The sequence below is a fragment of the Homo sapiens genome, chromosome 4 (genome assembly GCF_000001405.40).
Source record: "Homo sapiens chromosome 4, GRCh38.p14 Primary Assembly".
Taxonomy (NCBI): domain Eukaryota; kingdom Metazoa; phylum Chordata; class Mammalia; order Primates; family Hominidae; genus Homo; species Homo sapiens.
The window spans coordinates 68223691-68247257 of NC_000004.12; the positions used below are offsets into that span (position 1 = coordinate 68223691).

At 35.6% G+C, this 23567-nt stretch overlaps 1 protein-coding gene across 3 annotated transcripts; it reads right to left on the reverse strand.

Moving 5' to 3' along the window:
- Positions 1–2962: 2962 nt before the first annotated feature.
- On the reverse strand, positions 2963–22004 carry TMPRSS11B (transmembrane serine protease 11B). 3 transcript variants are annotated; one of them, XM_011531608.3, is made up of 11 exons: positions 21861–22004; positions 17999–18114; positions 12461–12576; positions 12312–12379; positions 10773–10933; positions 8688–8726; positions 7513–7690; positions 5567–5826; positions 5052–5194; positions 4184–4382; positions 2963–3371 (listed from the first exon to the last, which is right to left on the reverse strand). In XM_011531608.3, exons 1-10 carry the CDS (start codon positions 21866–21868, stop codon positions 4221–4223), a joined length of 1251 nt encoding a protein of 416 aa, XP_011529910.1. In that variant the 5' UTR covers positions 21869–22004; the 3' UTR covers positions 2963–3371; positions 4184–4220. The 3 variants fall into 3 exon arrangements, with proteins under 3 accessions (XP_011529910.1, NP_872308.2, XP_011529911.1); NM_182502.3 differs by having other exon boundaries at positions 2963–4382; XM_011531609.1 differs by lacking the exons at positions 2963–3371; positions 4184–4382; positions 5052–5194 and having other exon boundaries at positions 5570–5662.
- Positions 22005–23567: the final 1563 nt, after the last annotated feature.

The following is a 23567-nucleotide window of genomic DNA, read 5'->3' on the forward strand; positions in this document are numbered from 1 at the left end:
TTTGCCGGGCTAGATAGTGAATGGGGAGATAGGGGCAGGGGCAGTGAGTGTAGATGTCATGACTGATCACAGTATTTAAGTCATAACAAATGGCAAATGACAAGCTCAATGAGGAGAACATGAAGATATTTTCAGGTATGCCAAAAAATAAAAATAAAAATTCCAGTCAATGGAAAACAGCTTCTAGCAGGCTTTGAGCCATTAGACCAATATCTAAGACCAAATTTTTATTTTTTATTTTTTTTTGAGATGGAATCTCGCTCTGGCTGGAGTGCAGTGACGCGATCTCGGCTCACTGCAAGCTCCGCCTCCGGGGTTCACGCCATTCTCCTGCCTCAGCCACCCGAGTAGCTGGGACTACAGGCGCCCGCCACCACACCTGGCTAATTTTTTGTATTTTTTAGGGGAGACGGGGTTTTCACTGTGTTAGCCAGGATGGTCTCGTTCTCCTGACATCGTGATCCGCCTGCCTTGGCCTCCCAAAGTGCTGGGGTTACAGGTGTGAGCCACCGCACCCTGCCTCTAAGACCAAATTTTTAAAAATAAACCTAAAAACATTTTTAGATACTTTTCATCACTTCGTCTCTTCTTTTCTGATTCATTTTCAGTGAAAACATTCTTTGAAAGCATTAATATGAAAGTCTGTGTTGCATAACAAAATACTGCCTTATGAGTTAAAAAAGAGTTCTCATACACTGATAAGTTGGAGATGTTTCTAGAGTAGACACAATCCTTGAACAAGGAAGTCACTTTCAAAAATTCCTTATTAAAGCCTAAACTGGTTGGTTAATTGGAGGCTTCACAAGAAGGAGGGAACAACCTTGTCAACTTTGTGCTATCATATATGGCATTAATTTTTTTTTCAATCTTTAAAAAAATGCCATTTTAATTAGCACTACATTCACAAAAAGATCTTGGCTTATGCTTCATAGTGCACAAGACTATATCCCTATCTTATATCACAAACAGTTTCATATTTCAAACACATAATTTTTTATGTTTCTCAAGAACATATGGACATTTATTAATAGCTGTGGTCCCGCTAGTCAGTAATGGTATGCTCTTTCTCAAATTCTTGCTCAATGGACTCCTTCAAAATGGACTTCAACTTCCCCTACTTAAAAACAGGAAGAAATAATTAAATTAGTCTAAGTTGTTCTTTGTTTTATTTTGTTTTGTTTTGTTTTGTTCTGCTTAGCTGGGGAATGGGGGGAGCGTAAAATATCTCCTTAATCATTCATCTCTGGTTTCTTTTCCATACCACTTATGAGTAGTAAAAGCATTTTATTTGAGAAAATCTTTTACTTTTTAATAAAATGGTGACTAATTTTGTAATGCAAATAATGATACTTTTGTCAATTTAGCATTTTAATTTTCATGCATTGTGATTAGTGTTGTTGGTTTTATTTCTCAAGGCAGACCTCTAATTCTTTGTGTGAACTTCTCAATGTGCTGTTAACATCAGAAGGCCAGGATGGCGCAGTCTATTACTACCAAAAAGAAAAAAAAACACTTACTTTTAGCTGATCCGTCACACATACAGTCCATATGAAAGTGAAGATTCTAAGTTGTTAAGACTGAAGTAAAGGCTACTATTGCACCCCATAAAGAATCCACCTTTGGCTGAATAATAACTGCTTTACCTTATGCAACTTGCCCCACCTGCTCCTTACCTCCACACCAAGCCTGGAGATTGGCCACTCATGCTATCATATCCCTCCTTGTTCAACCAGGAAGCCTCAATCTTGAGAAATCTTCACGCTTCATTTCTTTCTCATGGACCCCTTAGTCTCACAAATTCTCTTCCTCCACCAATCTCCCATCCTCCTCCAAATTCCTGTCCACCCTTTCCTTCCAATCACTTTCCTCTTTCTTCCATATTGGGGTTATTACTCATTCAGTTCCATTTGTTTTCCCTCTGGAAGAAGCAAGGGACAGACTGTGATTCAACTCATGATGTCGGGGATAAATTAAATGCTTGTAAACATCTGACTTCTGAATTAACTATCTATAAGACAAGGAAATCATTATACAGCCTGCAATACCTTTGACCTCTTAGTAATATTAAACTTTGTTCTACTTTGGGTTGCACTATAAAAGGATGTCTTCTGTTATCCTACCAAGGCATATTCCTAGCCCAAGGAAAAGGATGAATATGTGTTCATTTCTTACTAGGACAGCTGCAGTAGCTTTCTAACCAGTCTGCCTGCATTCTGTGCTCTTCACCCCCACTCCAGCCCATTCTCTTCATCAAAGTTATGTAATCTTTTCAAAGTGCATATTAGATTATCTCACTCCCTTTGCTTGGAAAACTCCTGGGCCTCCCATTGCAGTTAGAATGAAAATTCAAGGTCTTTACCATGGCTTACCAAGCGGTACTTGACTTGGCCCCCATCTACCTCCTCCATCTTCTCCCCTACCATCTCTCATTTATCCATGGGGTTTCAATCACATTGGCCTTCTTTCTGCTGCACATATCCACCTCACTTTTCTCTCTCTCTCTGGATCTCATACTTGTTCCCTTTGGATATCTTTTCTTTCATATGTTTTCCATGTTTTGGCTTTTCATCCTTTAGGTACAGCTCAAATGGCTACCCCCTCAGAGATGTCATTCAGACTTCCCAATCTAAATTATAGCTTATCTGCTCCATCATTTTCTATCACATTACTTTTTATTTCCTTTATAACATTTATCGTAATCCAAAATTATCTTATTTATGTGTTTACTGCCTATCTTTATTCACTAAATGTGGTATCCTTGAAGGAAGACATTGTATCTATACCTGACATTTCCTGAAACACACTAGGGACTCAATAAATACATGTGGCTGGCCTGAAACAGAAGTGAGGAGAGAAAGACACCATCTTGTCACAGATGGTTATAGATTTGCTTGATGTCAATATGCATATCATTTGAGCCATACTTTATAATAAAGAATAAAAGAGTAGCTCCACAAACAAATGAAGAAATGAGTACTTTTTTAGTTTATTTTAATGCCTTTAAGTTTTTGGTGACTTTTACATTTGGAAAATTACATAAGGTAAATTATTTGTAGAGATTACAAAGTTAGCCATCCATATGATTGCACTTTTACTATAAGGAGATGCCACACAGTTCTCTGCCCTTGATGACCTCATATTATTTTTGCTGCAAGAGAAAGCAAACAAATGACAAAAGGTGAATATGAAGACAATGGAAAATGTTATATAAATAATTGCCACTCAAAAGTCATTCTTTAATTCCTGACAAATTTTGGATGTCAACTCAATGAGGACAAATTTGTGTAAGGATAAATTTGTCAACTTATCACAGATGATGGAGAGTGACTTTAACCAAATCATTTCTCTTCTCTGGTCTTCAGTTTCTTGATCTGTAAATTGAAAGACTCAGTGTAGCTGGAGCTCTGATACTCCTTCTTCACTGCAAGATTGCATGATTTTGTGAGGTACATGAATCATTTCACATATAAGTTAAAAAGTAATGTACACTTTCGCACTTATTCCAGTTAATAAAATGAAATTATAATTGATATAATAAAAAGTAACTCATTTGATAAATCCCCTATATATGTTCTCATAGTTTCAAAATTTATATTTTATTTTCTTTTGATTCTGGAAAACAAATTAAGGTCAATTCTGAATATAATGGTAAAATGAATCACAACTCAGCTATTAAGAAAAATTATATATTAGCCTTCTTTATTTTCTTCTCTCCTTTTTTTTTTTTTTTTTTTGAGACAGGGTCTCACTCTGTTGCCCAGGCTGGAGTGCAGTGGTGGCGCAATCACAAATCACCACAGCCTCAACCTGCTGGGCTCAAGCAATCCTCCCACCTCAGCCTCCTGAATAGCTGGGACTATAGGTGCACGCCACCATGCCTAGCTAATTTTTGTATTTTTTGAACACGGATTTAGCCATGTTTCCCAGGCTGCCCTCAAACTCCTGGGCTCAAGCAATCCGCCTATCTCGGCCTCTCAAAGTGCTAGGATTACAGGCATGAGCCACTACACCTGGCCTCTTCCTATCTCTTACATTAATTTAAAAGATTAATAAATGCATGGACAGTGTTTTAGATATAATAAAATATTAATAAAGACATTTATATTTTTATATATAATAAAATGATTAGTTTACCAACAATCAAAATAAAAAGATCCCAAAGCCACAGATAAGGATAGCCTACAGTGGTCTTTATGTTCCTTTGTATAATTCCTTTTTTTTCAGAGTCCAGTCTTGGATGTAATCCAATTGCGATAAGAAGTCACTCGAGTATAGACACCTGGCTTATTCTTTTTACCACATCCATCACCCCAGCTTACTATTCCAACAAGATGCCAGATATTTCTGGAATCAGGGTAAGCTAGTGGTCCACCAGAATCATTCTAGAAGAAGAAAAGAAAAAAATGTTTCTTGTCTTAACAAAAAATTTCCTTTTACCTCTCCTGTGGAGTTATCTGTACCTCCTGGGCACTGAAACCAATTCACTCTCTTTGGGCTTAGAACTCTGAAACCCTTAGGACTTTTTTTTAAAACACAAGACAGCTACAAACCAGAATATATGGCCTAAAACTGCCAAATGTTGACTTGAGCAAACCAGAGTTTGACTTATATAATGAGTGCAGCTTGAATATGGAGAAGGTGACTTAGCTGCTTGCACTGAGCTTAAGTCTCTATGATGAAGCCTCTGAGGAACAAGTGGCATAGGCATGTGCCCAGACTCCTGATGCATCTCTGGATAAAGAGAAGACAACATTCTAGGTCTGCAGGTTGCCCAGAAAATAGGACAAAATTCATCTTGTAAACTTCTTCTAAGTGTTATTCTTTGTATGAATTCCCAGATTGAAAACTTCGTGAGGGCAGGATTGTGTTCACCTCCACGTCCCTAGCATGTAGGCTAGTGTCTGGTACATAAATGGAATTAATACATTTTTAGTGTATTGAAATACAAAGCTACTATGTCAGTATTATTAACACAAAAAAAATTTTATGTGGATAAAAACTTCCATTTGATTAACTGGGAGAAAACAACTGGATAATGTAACTAGACATACCTGACATGCATCAGCTTCTCCTGACATAAATCCAGCACATAACATTGTATCAGTCACAAAGCCAGAGTATGCATATGAGGCATTGCAAATTTTGTTGTCAATAATCTTCAAAAAGTCTTCTTGAAGTATCACTGGAAATGAACCTAAAAGCAATAAGTGCTGCATATTATGCAGATCTTAGACTTTGCTGGGACAAAGAATATCTACCTATAGCATAAAGCAGACTCTCTTGGTCACCAAGAGTCAGGCCAGTCCCAGGTTAGATTAGTCTCTTTCAGGTGTTTGTAATAGTTGGCTGCCTAACACATAATTTCAATTTTTCCAATTCCCATTCCCAGAGATATTTTAGGAAGTGAAGACAATTTGACATCATGCTTTTTGTCCCACCACTTGGTTTTCTTTTCAGTATATTTACTGATTGATTAATTGCATGAGGGGATGATTGATTGATTGATTGATTGATTGATTAAATAGTTATTCCCATGCAGCTATTATGATTTTACAAAAAAACTTACCATTCATATAAAGTGTTCCCCAACCTGTAACTACAACATTGTCATTTTCTGAGAGCTTCATTTTGGCTTCAGGAAGACAAATCTTACGAATGTACTCTGTAAAAGAAACTTCTTCAGCAAGCTGCACAAGGGCAATATCATCATGAAGCCCAGGACTGCTATAATTTTCATGAAAAATAATGTTTTGGACTTTCCGTGTCATATATGGTTTATTTACTACAATTCCAAAGTTGACAGTCCAATCTTTTGAATTATTTTTCCTAGAGGACACAATGTAATTAGAATACACTCAGTTGCTGGGTCACAACACTGTTCTTAGTGGTGATTATCTCATAATTTTAAGGCATGAGGTTCCCAAACAAAACTATAAACCACTGAAATTCTATTTTGAAAACTATCTTTGACATGGAGCTGTTGTAAATGTTGCAGTCACTTAAAAATAATGCTAAGGACTCAGATTTGTCAGCTTTCTGAAGATCTTTTCAAGTAGAGTCACTGATGTTTTCCCCTGCTTATTCAGTTCCATCCAGTTTCTGAACATTTAATTTGGTCAGGAATCACATGAGCGTCCTCAATTCCGTAAGTGGATGGGGTCCAGGATTAGTCTTATTGCCACATACCCTTGGTTTCAATAGCTACTTTTTTTACCCTCACCCTTCTACCACCCTCAAGTAGGCCCTAATGTCTATTGTTCCCCTCCTTGTATCCATATGTACTCAGTGTTTAGCTCCCACTTATAAGCAAGAAGATGTGGTATTTAGTTTTCTGTTCCAGCATTAATTCATTTAGTTTGGATAATAGCCTGCAACTGCATCCATGTTCCTGCAAAGGCCATGATTTTATTCTTTTTTATGACTGGATAGTATTCCATGGTGTATATGACCCATATTTTCTTTATCCAGTTCACCGTTGCTGGGCATCTAGGTTGATTTCATGTTTTTGCTATTGTGAGCTGTGGTGTACATACAAGTGCATATGGCTTTTTGGTAGAACAATTTATCTTCCTTTGGATATACTCAATTTTTGGGTCCAGATTAAATTTTACGTCAGATGGATATGCTGTCTTTCTTCAAATTTCCATCGTACTTACTATCTTTGTAATACGTGTCATGTTTACAATACTATACAGCCTCGTACTTTTAATATATGACATTTAAATTTTCTCAACTAGATTATAAACTTCTGGATGGCAAGACAAGGAAGCACCTAGTAACTGGAGTCAGACACACTTGAATTCACATTCAGTTTCTATTATTTAAGAACTAGGCTGGGCATGGTGGCTCGCACCTGTAATCCCAGCACTTTGGGAGGCTGAGGCAGGCGGATCACTTAAGGTCAGGAGTTCGAGACCAGCCTGACTAACATGGTAAAACCCCGTCTCTACTAAAAATACAAGAATTAGCTGGACATAGTGGTGCGTGCCTGTAATCCCAGCTACTCAGGAGGCTGAGACAGGAGAATCGCTTAAACCCAGGAGGCAGAGTTTGCAGTGAGCTGAGATCGCACCATTGCACTCCAACCTGGGCAACAGATTGAGACTCCATCTCAAAAAAAAAAAAAAAGAGCTGAGTGATCTTAGCCAAGTTTTGTCACCTTTCCTGAGTGAGACTTAGTTTCCTCATCTTCAAATGGTTTTAACTATACCTTCCATACAGAATTGAATGTTGTGATTAAATGAAATGATGTTAAGTAAAGCACTTAATGTCAGGCCAAGGTACCTATTTGGAAAATGTTAATTAATACTTCTATTTGCTTTTCTCTCCTTTCTCTAATTTAAATGCATTTCCTTTCCTGCTCTTTAATTACGCAGGTGATTGTAAATGTTCTATGTGATTGTAAATTTCATATGGCCTTGGTGAACCTTGACACATTAAGTTAACCCCTACAAACTATCCAAAATAGTTTTGCACCTAGCATCCTTCATTTAGTCAAATTTTCAAACTTACTTAGCAAAGCAGTGAGCTGCAGATAATAGCCACCTGCTGCTGATCAGAGAGGCTCCACAGTAGTGACGGCCTTTCCATTGCATGCTGGCCTGCCATGGCCATGCCCCCTCCAGGGAGCTTTTTCCATTCACAATTTTGTTGCCAGTTATGATACTGTTGGCTACTTGTCTCCCACAACCTAGAGAAAGGATTTATTTACACGAGAGCAGGTATCTTTGATTACGCATTATAAAAAAATATATCATTAAAAATTACTTGAAACCTTTCAGTGATTATTCAACTTCTCCTAATTGATGACGTTTCTTTCCTACAAGATACTCCTGTGATGTTTCTGTATTCTATCTTGGTTTGAGTGGTTCTTACTTATCCTCTTTTCCAGTCTCAAGCATCTTTCAACCACTATTTTTTGTTGTGTCTATGTGTTATAACTCTTGTCTCTCTAAGCAGATTCTTGAAGGAGGAGCTTTGCCTCATTGGTGTCTACATCTTGCATAGTATATGCACTGCTGTCTGTAAGACACCATGTGAACAAAAGATACTCCATAAATATCCATGGAGTGAATGAATGCATAAATGTATCTTGTGGAAAACATGATACTCTAAAGAGAATTTATTTAAAAGATGTAACAGGACAGCGATATGCTCCTATAGGCCCAGCTACTTGGGAGGCTGAGGCAGGAGGACTGCTTGAGCCCAAGAGTTCCAGGCTATAGTCCACTGTAATTGCACCTGTGAATTGCACTCCAGCCCACACAACATAGCAACATCCCACCTCTAAAGCAAAAAATAATAATAATTTTTAAGATGCAGAACTGTTTTTATCTTTAATAAATATATTTTATATAGCCTGGTTTTATATTTTCTTCTTATCCTAAATTGTCATTTCCTTCAATCTTTCTCATTTTAACATATTCAAATATGATATTTTTCACTCACAGTTTTATTATTTGGAATCAATTTTCATTTAACTTTTTATATATTTTTTAATAAATGTTAAAATTAATAGACCAGTGTTTTTCAAAGAGAAATTCTAAGTCAATATCTGGTATATCTAGTAATTCGGAAAGCGTGTTATGGGATTTCCACATGACATATTTCAAGTATTTTTAATAGAAAAATAATGAGAAAATACCTGTGAGTCCATCAAATTTATAATTAAAAGGTCCTTAACTTACAGTTGTTGGTAAGCATTTCAGAAGCAGCCTTGCTGATTTCTGAAAGTGAAAAACAAAACAAAATATAAAATTGAGCAAATATCACCAAGCAATTGACTTCAACCTAAGAACATAAATGCTAACTTTCCTAACCCAATATTGTCCAACATTTAACTATTTGGAGTAGTTCAGGTATTTTCAGCCCCTCTGACTCTTATTTGTTACATTATAACCATCTCTCCATATCTCTACTAGGTAGCCTAGAAAAAGAGAAAAGGGAATAAAAAACAAAAATCAGTTTTATGATTATTGAAGTAAAATATTCAGTGCTGTAAGAAGCTGGCACCCTTACAAATTGTTTTTTTATTATACTTTAAGTTTCAGGGTACATGTGCACAACGTGCAGGTTTGTGACATATGTATACACGTGCCATGTTGGTGTGCTGCACCCATTAACTCGTCATTTAACATTAGGTATATCTTCTAATGCTGTCCCTCCCCCCTCCCCCTTACAAATACTTTTAAGAGATCATGATAGAGATTTCTTTCCCATGATAATTCTCTTTACTCTGAAATGCTCAGAATTATATATATTTTAAGGAAAAATGTCCCAATTAAAATTATACTTCACTGAGCCCATCCTGCTCTTTAGGGAAATCTCCTTACTAAGAATGAATCATGAAATTTTGAGAACTTAAATTTAAATCTTTTTCCTATTGGTAAAAGACTTTAGAGAGAAGGAGAAGAGGAGGAAACTAAAGAAACACTAGAAAATGCTGACTATACTCTATGGGACACAGAAAGAGAGTAAACAACGTATCCCTCTTTCCCAAAAGCTACTCACAGAAAAATTTTATTGCTCCCTTGAAAAGTTCTACCTCAGGTTCCCTTCTTATTAGTGGTTCACTGGTAACGGGGTCTTTATTGTGTGGCAAAAGAGCGGTAACTGGCAGATGTTGCTGGCCTTTCAAGCCCTCGAAGACCCTAGGATTAATTGTCTGGCTGGAAGAACCATGAAACTGGACTCTGAAATCATATGCTTATCACCTAGCTGGACTTTTAACAATCCAAGTGACAGTTTCAAGACCTTTGCAAAACCTTCACAATCTTTACAAACTTCACTTTCTGTAAGGAGGCAAAATCTTATCATTTTTCTGTGAGAAGCTTTTGGGAAAGAGGGATAGATTGTTTACTCTCTTTCTGTGTCCCATAGAGTATACTCAGCATTTTCTAGTGTTTCTTTAGTTTCCTCCTCTTCTCCTTCCCTCTAAAGTCTTTTACCAATAGGAAAAAGATTTAAATTTAAGTTCTCAAAATTTCATGATTCCCTTGTTTTCTAGGGAATTTTCCAGACAATTTTTTTCTTTAAAAGTGGTATTACTCCAGTTTTTTCACAAAAATCAATAAGAACTCCCATCCCTAACATTGTTCTTAACTCCTGCAGTCTCCTTACTGAAAGACCAAGAAAGCCCTAAATCTGCTTTCTGTCATGAGATCCTGACAAAAGCAAGGAGTAGAAAAGAAAGATACTTTGCCTGGGCTCGGTGGCTCATGCCTGTAATCCCAGCACTTTGGGAGGCCGAGGTGGGCAGATCACAAGGTCGGGAGTTCAAGACCAGTGTGACTAACATGGTAAAACCCTGTCTCTACTAAAAATACAAAAAAATTAGCCAGGTGTGGTGGCGGATGCTTGTAGTCCCAGGCTGAGGCAGGAGAACTGCTTGAACCTGGGAGGCAGAGGTTTCAGTGAGCCGAGATCACGCCACTGCACTCCAGCCTGGGCAACAGAGCAAGACTCCATCTCAAAAAAAAAAACAAGAAGATAATTCAATTAGAACCCTTCACCCCCTTTCCCATGCATAATAGCCAAACCCTTCCAAACTTACATCCATGCTTGCAGTGTAACCCTCATTCCTATCATTCTTCAGACAATGATTCCATGGCACTGCCCTTTCCACTACCAAGTCATTGCTAGGGGTGCCAGAGTTAGGTACGCATATTTTTTTCCCGAATTACTAAAACTCTTAGTTCACTTTTTAGTACTTTTTAAAAAAATAATCCAGAAAAAACCTATGTAATAGAAAATAATGGAAATAAGTCAAATACCCATGAGTTTAATGGAAGCAGGAACTGCATTCCAGGATGCCATGTTGTTTTTCAACATCTGATGTAATTTAGCCTTGATTTTAGTCCTCATGCTAACTCCTTCTGCTGGAGGAAACTTGAATTTCAGCTGTAACTGCACATTTGAACCATTGGCATTAGGCCTAGAAACAACAGAAATTTTCTAATGTACTGTTTCTTGATCTTTTAGAGGTTTTGTGAACACATTAAATTTCACACATTTTAATTATCACATTTTCTTTACATATATTAAAGAAAAATATACATATACTATCTAAGCATGTATAAAATTCAAAGATATCTAAAAAAACTTCTAGTACGTCTAGTTCAGATGTGCTATTCATGGAAGAAAATATAGACCACAAACTAAAATCAGAATATTTCAAACACTATGGGAAATGGAATACTGGCCAAGAAATGATTGGCATGAAGTCTTACTATAATACAATAAAAACCAGTGCTCTCATAAAGAATTTTTCTAATAACTTCATTTTATAGAAAGAGATAAATGAGAAAATAAAGATAGGGCAGGGAAGCATTCAAAAGACAATTTCCAGCATGTATTTAGAAGCCAGTGCTAACCTTCTTCCTACGGTTTTTTTATACATAACCAGTCTGCCCCAACAGATCTATACAATGAAAAAGCTCAGAAAGAGAATTCTAAAGCATGAAGGACATCTTGATTATATATTCAGTACATTCTTTTGATTAATCAGGAAAAGAGATTAATTCATTTTGGAAGACTTTCAAACCAAAGCCATATCAATCAGAATTGTTAAAATATCCATAATTTCACTTTCAAATAATTATGATCAATTCTAGGGTCTTTGAAGGTTTTTGTTTGTCTGTAGGTAAGTAGGTTGGTTAGGTCAGCTGGATTTTTTGTTTGTTTTGTTTTGAGAGTTCAGAATTCCCCAGAACTGATATTAACAATTACCAAATTACAAGTGGGCTCTACCCTCATTACTCTTCCCCCATACACTATACCCTCCTCCCTGCATCCCTCCCTACCACCACTATCTTCAGGCATCCTTCAAAGGTGTGTCTAGACAAATGTTGTCTTAAAATATTGTCTTTGTTCCACAGCCATTGTAAGGATGATAATTATTAAGGAAACTAAAATAGGATGTTTTTAGGGAAGGTATGGGCTAAAAACAAACCAGTTGAATTATTTGTTTTCCCTGGAGTTATAATTATCTTTCATCATAGCAGTCAGTTAGGACTGACCACCACCAATAACCTTATAATTCTTTTGCAGGTATAAGATTAAAGATTTGTATATAATGACTCTTGCCCAGAACAGAAATTTGCTAGATACAATGATACTTTCATTCATGGAGAACTTGATCTTTCTTTTTCTTTTTTTTTCTATTTCCTTCGTTCCTTCCTTTCTTTCTTTCCTTTCCTTTGTTTCTCTTTTTCTTTATGTTTGTTTTTTGTTGTTATTGTTATCTAAAATCAAGGTTGTATGATATATCACCTACTTTCCTTTCATAAAATCTTAAATGAACTTGTACTTACAGAAGTTTGATGACCTCAGATTTGACATATTCCTTATATATACTGGAATTTTGAAATGCATTTAACATCTGACAAGAGAAAAAAAACAGTCATCATGTATGTTTCAATCAAATTTATAATAAAATTAATTTTAAAAATCTCTGATTTACCTTAGTCTCAATATCTTTGCTTAGATTTGTGCTGGCTTGTGAAGCTGCGTTTTCACAATTATCATTGTATGTGACTCCAGAAATATGAAAATCACCTTGATAATAGTAAGTCTTCTCTGCAAAATTAAGAAAAAAAAACCTCAAAGAATTTTAAAGTGGAAAGTGACTTTAAAGCGATTTATACCTCTGCCTCAACATTCCACCCAGCTTTAGAAATAATCCATTTATACCTCTGCCTCAACCATTTATACCTCTGCCTTAACATTTATACCTCTGCCTCAACATTTATACCTCTGCCTTAACCATTTATACCTCTGCCTCAACATTCAACCCAGCTTTAGAAATAATCCAAGGGAGGGAGAAAAATAAAAGGAGAGGAGTGAACAATTGTTTATTCCAGAAATGGCAACTCCATATCATTCATTCAATGATCCCCGCTTTCCCTTTATGTGATAATAGACATTACTGTCCTGCTAAGTCCAGATATACCCTCAGCACCCTCCTCAAAACAGCAATGCCCACAGTCACTAACAATCCACCTGAGTATGCACTAGATATAAAACATCTTTTACATGTATAGTCTAAACTCAGCCTAGCAATTACCCAATTAATCTTTCTAAGCAATTCTAATACAGGAAACATACAAGCATCAGTCACCCTTCACTTTCTGGATGATATACACTGTCTTGCACCCTTTTGTATGCCCTTTGCCTGCTGGCCTGGTTTCCATTCCTTGATGTTATTCCTGGAGGACACCATGGTGCCATTATTATTATTATTATTATTATTATTATTATTATTATTATACTTTAACTTCTGGGATACACGTGCAGAACATGCAGATTTGTCACATAGGTATACACGTGCCATAGTGGTTTGCTGTACCCATCAACCTGCCATCTACATTAGTTATTTCTCCTAATGCTATCCCTCCACTAGTGCCTCCACCTCCCTGCCAACCCTGGTGTGTGATGTTCCCCTCCCTGTGTCCATGTGTTTTCATTGTTCAGCTCCCACTTATGAGTGAGAACATGTGGTGTTTGGTTTTCTGTTCCTGTGTTAGTTTGCTGAGAATGATGGTTTCCAGCTTCATCCATGTCCCTGCAAAAGACATGAACTCATTCTTTTTATGGCTGAATAGTACTCCATGGTGTATATGTGCCATATTTTCTTTACCCAGTCTATCATTGATGGGCATTTGGGTTGGTTCTAAGTCTTTGCTATTGTGAACAGTGCTGCAATAAACATAAGGGTGCATATGTCTTTATAGTAGAATGATAATGATTTATCATCCTTTGGGTATATACTCAGTAATGGGATTGCTGGGTCAAATGGTATTTCTGGTTCTAGATCCTTGAGGAATCATCTCACTGTCTTCCACAGTGGTTGAACTAATTTACACTCCCAACAGTGTAAAAGCATGGTGCCCTTTTATTTCCCTACAGCATATGATGGGTGGTGCTTTGTGTGAGTCACAAGGTCTCATATCCCCATCTTTTCCTTTCCCCAAATATAAACTGCTTCACGTGATACATTAGGTCACCATAATTTAAAACAGGACAAGCCTCTTAAAAATAGGAATTACCAAGATGCAGTGGATTATGCCTATAGTCCTAGCAGTTTTTGAAGTCAAGTTGGGAGGACTGCTTGAGTCCAGGGGTTCAAGACCAGCCTGGACAGCATAGTGAGAGCCTGTCTCTACAAAAAACTTAAAAAATTTGCTGGGCATGGTGGCACGTGCCTGTAGTCCCAGCTACTGAGGAAGCTGAAGTGGGAGAATTGCTTGGGCCCAGGAGTTCAAGTCTACAGTGAGCTGTAATTGCACCACTGCACTCCAGACTTGGTGACAGAGTGAGACCCTCATGTCAAAAAAAATAAAATAAAAAGAACTAATATGAAAGAATACCCTGTTTTGGTTAAGTAATTAGCCATTCCTGTATTTTGAGAGCAATTGTGCTTTTGATCCACCTTTAACATACACCATGTAGTCTCTAAGTTACTGAAAAGTATGATCTCCTAAGCTGAAATAATTTATTACCCTGTAAGTTAGAAATAATTTTAAAATAAAATAAAAACTGATTTCCTATATTCCTATAGATTCTTATATTTTTCCTTATGGTAACCAATATATACAAAAGTCCAATGCCAAAGTCTGTCTGAGAAGTTACCTGAAAAGATGAATGCATATGAAGCTAGAGGAGCTAGTTCCAGCCCCATCACAAATCAGCTGTGCTGTCTTGGCATATTTAGCCCGCTGGGATTTTCTTTATTAATCACAAAAACTAAATTGCAGCCTGGTGCGGTGGCTCCCAGCTGTAATCCCAGAACTTTGGAGGCAGAGGTGAGAGGATCACTTGAGGTCAGGGGTTCAAGACCAGCCTAGCCAACATGGTGAAACCCCATCTCTACTAAAAAAAAAAAAAAAAATTAGCCAGGAGTGTTGGCGAACGCTGGTAGTCCCAGCTACTTGAGAGGCTGAGGCGGGAGAATTGCTTGAATCTGGGAGGCAGAGGTTGCAGTTTGCTGAGGTCACACCACTGCACTCCAGCCTGGGAGATAGAGTGAGACTCCATCTCCAAAAAACAAAACAAAACAAAAAACAAAGAAAAACAAACAAAAACTAAATTACAATAGATAAACTCTAAGACCCTCTTCTTTCTACTATTTTATCATTTTCATCTGTGAAGCTTGTCACCAAATGACTAAAGTAAATAATTAGAATCTGCTAACTTTGTGTTACATCCAGAATACTGAACCAGGGTATTTACAAGTAGGTAGATTAATTTGTCAAAAGTCTCATACATCATGCCCAGATTCTGAGAAACCATTATGTTTAGATTTCTGATTCCAGTTATAATTTTACTGGAGAATTCTATCAGTTCAAGGTACCATTTTAAAATTAATTTTCACTTGATTTTTACTGTGGATTGAATTGTATCCCCTCCAAAATTCATATGTTGAAGCCCTAAACACCAATGTGACTGTATTTGGAGACATGATCTTTAAGGGAGAATTATGGTTAAATGGGGTCATAAGGTTGAGACACGAATCCAATAGGACTAGTCTCCTTATAAGAGAAAGAGAGACCAGATCTCTCTTGCGCGCTCTCTCTCGCGCGCGCGCTCTCTCTCTCGCACTCTATCTCTCTCGCTCTCTCTCTCTTTCTCACTCACTCACTTCACCCCATCTCCCAAAATACACACAGAGGAAAGGCCACGGGAAGGCACAGTGAGAATCCAGCTATTTAGAAGCCAGGAAAAGAAGTCTCCCCAGAAACTAACCAGCATATTGGTCTTAAAAGTCCAGTCTCCAAGATTGTGAAAAAATGTCTGTTGTTTAACCTAGCCAGTCTGTGGATTTTGATATGGCAGATTGAGCAATTATAATTATTTAGATAAACTGAATGGAAATCTATTCTATATTCTATACTGTGGTCAGTGATTTTCAGTTTTACAGACATAGCAACAGTAATCTTTACATGGTAAACTGCCCTCCATTTCAAAGTTTATCAAGTCTTTTTTCTTAGGATAGACAGATTTTATTACCTCTCTAAAACATTGTTTTATACTAATAGATTATAACAATACCTATACATCATAATCACTATAGAGCTTCCAAAAGGCATGCATGGGTAAGGTCATGCCCCGGTCCAACTGGATCAGCTAACCTAAGGGTAGGGCCTAGAGAATGAACACTACTTCAAAAGAGCTCGACAGGTGATTCTGAGAAGAAGCTAGGGTTTGGAACTATTAGATAAACTATCTGAAGAATTATGAAATTGGTTATACATGTGTATTAAGCTTTTGGAAATAGCATTGTTAAGTAAAACGGTTGAGAAAGAGATGAACCAAAGTCATTTCTAGAATAATGATCTTTGTGAAATACTTATCTCTGAGTTAATCTAAAAAGTGGAAACTCAAAAGTTAAAAAAAGTTGATTGAGAAATAATAGATGTATTTAGACAGGGAAACTAATTTCATGCTACTTAAATGAGGGATTACAATAGCTGCCATCCAGCTAATTTCATACCACTTAAATGAGAGATTACAGTAGCTGTTATCCAGCTTAAGTTATTCTCAATATTAACAAATATTATATTCGTTCCTAAGCCAGAGTCCTACAGCAGAAACTCCTCTTCCAAACTGACTTCAAACAACATTTACCACAGCGTTTGTGTCCATTTTTACTCCACAGGTAGGACAGTTCAAGTAATTTAACTTGAAGTAATTTAAGCTGCTGTAGCCTTCTATCTGAAATAGTAGGTGGTTGACCATGTAGAGTCATTGAAGGGTGAATTATCATCCCATGCACCTCCTGCTCCAGCCAGGGTTCTGTAGTTCCCCTTTGCACCACTCCTTTCCATTAAGACCTTGCTTCCCCAGGAAAGGGGACCTGTTAAGATGCAAACTGTATGTTGAAAAAATGGATTTTTTCACAAGGGCTTGATTTTGAAAACTCAGAGCACTGTACTTAAGGAAATTATGTGAAGAATGTTATTTTTTAATGAGTAGAGGGAAAGAGAGGACAGAAAGAGATTATGAACATTTCATGGATAGATATGGCAGACAGGAGATTGAGTGCCCATTACCCTTCTGAAAGACAAGTCTTAAGAGGACTGAGGAGAAACAAAGGAAAAGAAGCCAGGTTGAAAGAAACTGTGTAATTTTTGCTGAGTCAGCCAAAATTTGTCTACATTGTATTATTGTATAGGGTTATATATTTCAGAGATATAAAACTCAGAAAAATCATGATAAAATAGTATAATTAAACTATTAAGTATATTAATATCAAGCTTTTAAGCAAGCTATGCTACTTAAAAGCTTGTGGTATCAAGCAAGTCACTTTACTTTTCTGAGCCCCAGTGTACTGTATGTGAAAATAAGGATAGTAGTAAAATCTGTCATCCCTAGCTCACAGGATTATTGGGAAGATAAAGTGGAATGATGGATGTCAAATTTATTTTAAAACATTAAATAACTATACAGGTTTAAGGACTTATTTTTCAGAAAAGTAAAAATAAATTGGAAACTAAGCTTTGTGAGTATACTGTTAATAAAAGTTTTAAAAATAAAACCATGTTTGTGCAAACATTTAGCCATTAAACCATGCTTGACTATCTACTATTAAAAGAGTTATTTGCAGATTTTTCATTGCTACTTATTCATCATATCTTAATAACCAATAGCAGAATTGAACCAAGAAGAGAAGGAATCTCTAAAGTTTGAGATATATTTACTACAGGATGTAACAATTCAACTACAAGCCTACTATAAGCTCCTTTAATGACAATGAATATTGACATCAAAGCATTGAACATTTCAGTCTTGCTCATACCCCCATAGTTAGTGATATAATTTACAAGGAGGCCTCTGATTCAAAAAATTTTATAAATTTCTGTGTCATAATAAACTGTGTTGAAATAAAATAGTAAATAAGAAAACTCCCAAGAAGAAATTTAATGTTCATGTTGTTTTTTTTCAATTTTTAAAATTTAAAGATTTATAGCAAGGATGAAAACTGAAAATAATCAGTACTCACCAACTGCCAGAAAATGAACAAGAAGACCAATGGTTACTCCCAAGATTGCCGCCACTCCAAGAAAAATAAAGATCGTAGTCCATAGTGGCCAAGATCTTTGGGAAGATATGCCGTGCCTATGAAAGAGGAAAATTTTGGTTCAAATCAGATAATAACAATCAAAATCTACCTGCCTCTCCTTCAACTCATAGTACATGAATTGTAGTTTATACATTAGTCCTTTATGCTAGCTGAAAACATAGAAACCTCAAATGCCTCAAAGAGGATAGACCCTAATGCTCATTCACTTAGCAAATCATCATTGATCCCAGGTTAGCTGCTGGAAATACATCAGTGAGCAAAATAGACATGATTTCTGTCCTCATGTTGCTGAAGAGAAATTGACTTGCTTTTTTTAAAAATTGAAGCAGGTTACAAAACATTAGTTGTAGTCTGATTGTATTTTTGTAAACTATAGCCATATCATGCACAGGGACATATAAAGACTTATAGACACAATTAAATACATAATATAATATAATATATATAATATTATATTATATTATATATATTATATTATATATATTATAATATATATAATATAATATTATATATATTATATTATACATAATATAATATATATAATATTATATATATAATATTATATTATATATATATTATATATAATATTATATTATATATAATATTATATATATAATATATAATATATTATGTATTATATTATAAATACATAATATAACAAGTTTTAATTATAGGTTTGATAATTGCAGATGGAAATACCATGATGTCAACTGCAATAATCTCTATGTAATAAAATTATAGATTTTTTGTTTACTTTTAACTGCATTTTCTAATTTTTCTTTTTTTTAATTTTCTTTCTTTCTTTCTTTCTTTTTTTTGAGACAGAGCCTCACTCTGTCATCCAGGCTGGAGTGCAGTAGTACAATCTCAGCTCATTGTAACCTCTGCCCCACTGGGCTCAACTGATCCTCCCACCTCAGCCTCCTGAGTATCTGGGACCACAGGGGTGCACCACCACACCCAGCTATTTTTTTGTAATAGAGTCAGTGGTCTCACCATGTTGCCCAGGCTAGTCTCAAACTCCTGAGCTCAAGCGATCTGCCCATCTTGGCCTCCCAAAGTGTTGGGATTACAAGCATGAGCCACTGCACCTGGCCTATTTTCTATAATGTTTCTACAACAAATGTAAATTATTTGCATAATATAAATTAATAGATCAGTTAGTTGTTTTATCATCAAAGCCAATCAATTAGTTGAAACAGAATTAGAAAATATGGTGGTTCGGCATCATAGAGATAAAGCAGTTTATGGTTACAGTTACATTGTATGGCCACACTAAGCTTAATCTACATAAAGTTTGAATCCTAGTTATTTTTCATATCTTGAGAGATGATGTTATATAATTGTCCATTGGAGGAAGGGCTGTAACATAAACATTCATGATTTCAAATGCAAAACATCCTCAGCTGCTTCTTCAATCTCTATTCTGTATCATTCTAAATAAACCTTGCAAAACAGAAGAGTTTGTAATCAGGGAACATATTTGGTGAATTACATATTTCCTATGAGTATGTGAACCTTTTTGTTCTCATCTCATCCAGGACCAACTGACTTTTAGGTAGATACATTTTTGTTTTTGTTTTTTTTAGCATTACCTGATACAACTGTGCAACTCCACCTAAATTTGTTTCCTCTTCACTCTGTTCCACATTCTTAATCCTACCTCTTCCTTATACCTCTTTGTCTCTTTTGATGACTTGTTAATTAGTGTTTCGCAGAACCAACATTATTCATCAAAGCTCTTCAAAGAAACTCCTTATTTCAGACACATTTCATGTATTTTTTCATACCAGAATGCTGTTGTTTAATATCAGCCTCACAGAAAAAAGTCTACTCAGGCATAGCATTTTTAATACAGTATTTATAACTTTATTAATATTGGATAACATGTTTCTTTTAATGACTATAAAAGTGCACTGTGACAGTAAGGTCTCAAATTTGTTTGGAATTAGCCAGTTATAACAGTCTGGTAGCTTGGGCTTTCTGAGACATGCATATTAGTCTAAGAGACTAAACATTATGTAGCCTAAATAATTATTCTAAGTTCTGAGATGGTTTCAAAATAATCACTGCTTTACCCAGCTTAAAAGAGATTTTTCTCTAAAAACCCATTTTGGATGCTCTGAAAATTTCTGAAGAGTACATATTATTGACTATAGCTCTGACATGACTTTTTCCTCCTCACATGGCTTTCTCTTGTCAAAAATAATTTAAAGTACTATTTTATATCTAAAAGAGTACAGTAAGTTTGTGATTAACTCAACCCTTCCTCTAATAAATGTAGCCTCTGGGAATTTATTATTATTTTTGAATAATAGCTGCACTTTTAAAAATTATGTTCTAAATATCAAAAAATGTCCATTCATGAAACAATTTACTCTCATTTACCAAATTAATTTTTGGCAACACTTTTTTCTAAAGGTAGCATTTGCATTACAAGATGAATCCCTCACTTAACAAAGGAAATAGGTTAAAAATTAATCTTCAATGAATTTAACCAACTTCGTGTACTTAACTAAACTATAATTGCCTCACTTTTAGAATGAATCTACTTCAAATAAGAGTTAATTGCTGGCTGCACATGGTGACTCATGCCTGTAATCCCAGCACTTTGGGAGGCCGAGGCAGGCGGATCACTTGAGGTCAGGTGTTTGAGACTAGCCTGGCCAACATGGTGAAACCCCATCTCTACCAAAAAATACAAAAATCAGCCGGGTGTGGTGGTGAGCATCTGTAACCACAGCTACTCAGGAGGCTGAGGCACGAGAATGGCTTGACCCCAGCTCCATCACAGGGGAAAAAAATAAATGAAAACTCATTGCCATTCTGGCATAACCATTTGCCTTAATCAACTTGCAATAATGATGTTAATCAAAATGGTGGTGAGTACATTACTTACAATTTTAAAACATCAGTCTTGTTACAATTTTACCTTTATGGTCCATGCCAGTGGTTAGATTTCCTTTTAACCACTTTTGGGCACTGCTTTAGGAGTTAAACAGCAAAGCATTAAAAAATATATAATTTTCATGTATTAGAACTTCATTTATAAACCATTTGAATTAGATGTGCCTGAATTATCTCATATAATGAAATGTGTTAAAGCATGACTGTGGTGCAAAATTCTTCAAATTTTATAAAAATAAACATTTTTTCCATAGAAAACTTTAAATCATTAGGGTGAGAATTGTGCATAAGGAGCAGAGAAGTGTAATGAACAAATGGGTAATGGCCTCTATTCTTCACTTTCTCCTGGAACTTTGAACAAAAGAGAGTCTACAGAAAGGAAGTCATTGGAAAATTTATGAAGTTTTGAGAACCTGCAGTTTGCCTGTTGCTAATTCAGAATCTATATTAGAAAGTACATTATTCCAAAATATATAATGGCATTCATATTTTTTATTATTCCTAAGAAAACCTTTTAATATTAGAAAATTTGATTTCAATTACATTACTAGAGAATAAAAACGGTAGCGTTCTTATGAGTGATTGTAAAAGAAATCTTATGCCTCATTTCCTTAAGATTTCAGGTCAATTATATATTTATATTCTTTCCCAGTAAGCAAAATTTTGCTGAATTATTATTTTTCTTTTTAACTTTTGGAAACTTTCCCAGAGACTTCAAAGGGTCTGTAGACCTCAGACAATAGAGTGTTTCTTAACAGTGTCCAGGAATAAAAACTAAATTATAAAAACAGTCAATTAACAAAAAACTAGAACATACTTAATGGCAACTTGCTACATTTTGCCAACTTGCTCTCCCCAGTGAAGTCCCCTTTACCTGTACATAATGTTCTGATTGTTATGGCAGTATCAGGTATAACGGTGGTAATGATGATGACGAAGATAACGATAACGATGACAATGCTGGTAATAGTGATGACAAAAGTTAGAACCTTCTGACGCAGCTTTTGACTTATGTGCTACATCCAGTGTTGGAGCTTGGTTTTTATGGGCTGGGTAAGATGTAGAGAACAAATAAGATGAAACTTGTCTGACTAGTGTTAATGACCATCACATTTCTGTAGTTTCAAGACAGGAGTTAACCCAAGAATGACAAACTTCCTTGACTTGGCGATTTAGAAAAAATTACGGCCCAGTTTGGTCAGCTAAGAGGCACACCCAAGAAACAGCTTTGAAGTATGTAGGGGTAATCCTAACTCTATATTTTACCAATTCCATTATACTGCCTTGTCTCTTCTCAGTTGAAACTAACTATAACTAGTTAAAAGTTTCTGACAAATGTCGTTTTACAATACGTCAATTTTAATATGGCAAATATTGCCATCATTCTCATGCAGATGAAATTCTATTTCATTGTGGTTTGCATTTGCTTTTCCTTAATTACCTGTGAGAATAATCGTTTCACATATTTTGAGGGAATTTGGATTTTCACTTTTGAGAATCCTGTTCATAAGTTTAGTTTTTCATCAACAGGCAGCAGATGGTAAGGAAAAAAAAATGGGTTGCTAATCTTTTTTTCTTATAGTTATATGTGAGTTCCTTATATGATCTGGATATTAATGTATTATTATACTGGATATTAACCAGTTATGTTCACCTATTTATTAATTACCTGTCCCCAGGGTGCAGCTTGACATTTCATTATGTAAAGAGATTTCAGTTCTTTAAAAACTTCAAGAATCCATTTACTTTTGTAATGACATGAAATGATAATTTAATTTTATATTGTCTTAATTTGAAATTATTTTTTCTTACTAATAACCTGTTTTCCAAGACTTTTTTATTGCAGAGTTCATCTTTTCTCTACGGATGTGTGAGGCCTCCTATATCATATACAAAATCTGCATGTTTCTTAACTCTCTATTCTGTTCCAATAGTCTATTTACCTTTTCTTCTGTCAATACTAAATAGTTTTAATTACTATAGATCAGGAGTCAGCAAGCATTTTCTGTAAAGTGCCCAGACAATAAACGTTTGAGGCTTTGTAGGCCATATGGTCTCCATTGCAACTATTAAATTTTCCCATTGCAGCACAGAAACAGCCAAAAATGCTAAGTAAAAAAATACATGCAGGCATGGCTGTTTTCCAGTATTTACTTATAAAAGCAAATGGTGAACCAGGTCCATGGGTTGTAGTTTTCCAGCCCCTGCTGCAGATTACAGTAGGTCATGATTTCTGAAAGCATATGTTTTCTCAAACACTTCTTCAAATTTATATTGGTAATTCTTAACTTTCTATTCTGCCATATGCTTTGAGGATCAGCTTATTAAGTCCCATTATTAAGTCCCAAGAAAATATTTTGAGATTTTGAGATTTCAATAGAAATTCTATTTATTTCACAGAATAGTTTGGAAAGATTCAACATCTTATATTGTTAACTGTTTATCAGCATGATGTATCTTTCTATTTATTCATTAATTTTGTTTTGTCATTTTACTCATAAAGTGATATAAGGCACATCTTTTTTATATTTATTCCTCTGTTTGAAGTTTTTCTCATAGTCATGAATAATATTTTTCCTGT

Excerpts from the sequence above, each read along its gene's own strand:
- TMPRSS11B (XM_011531608.3), bottom strand. Across the intron at positions 8,727-10,772 it reads TGCTTCCATTAAACTCATGG|AAATCAGCAAGGCTGCTTCT; the intron begins GTATTTGACTTA and ends TTTCACTTTCAG. Across the intron at positions 7,691-8,687 it reads TGAAATGCTTACCAACAACT|GTTGTGGGAGACAAGTAGCC; the intron begins GTAAGTTAAGGA and ends TCCTTTCTCTAG.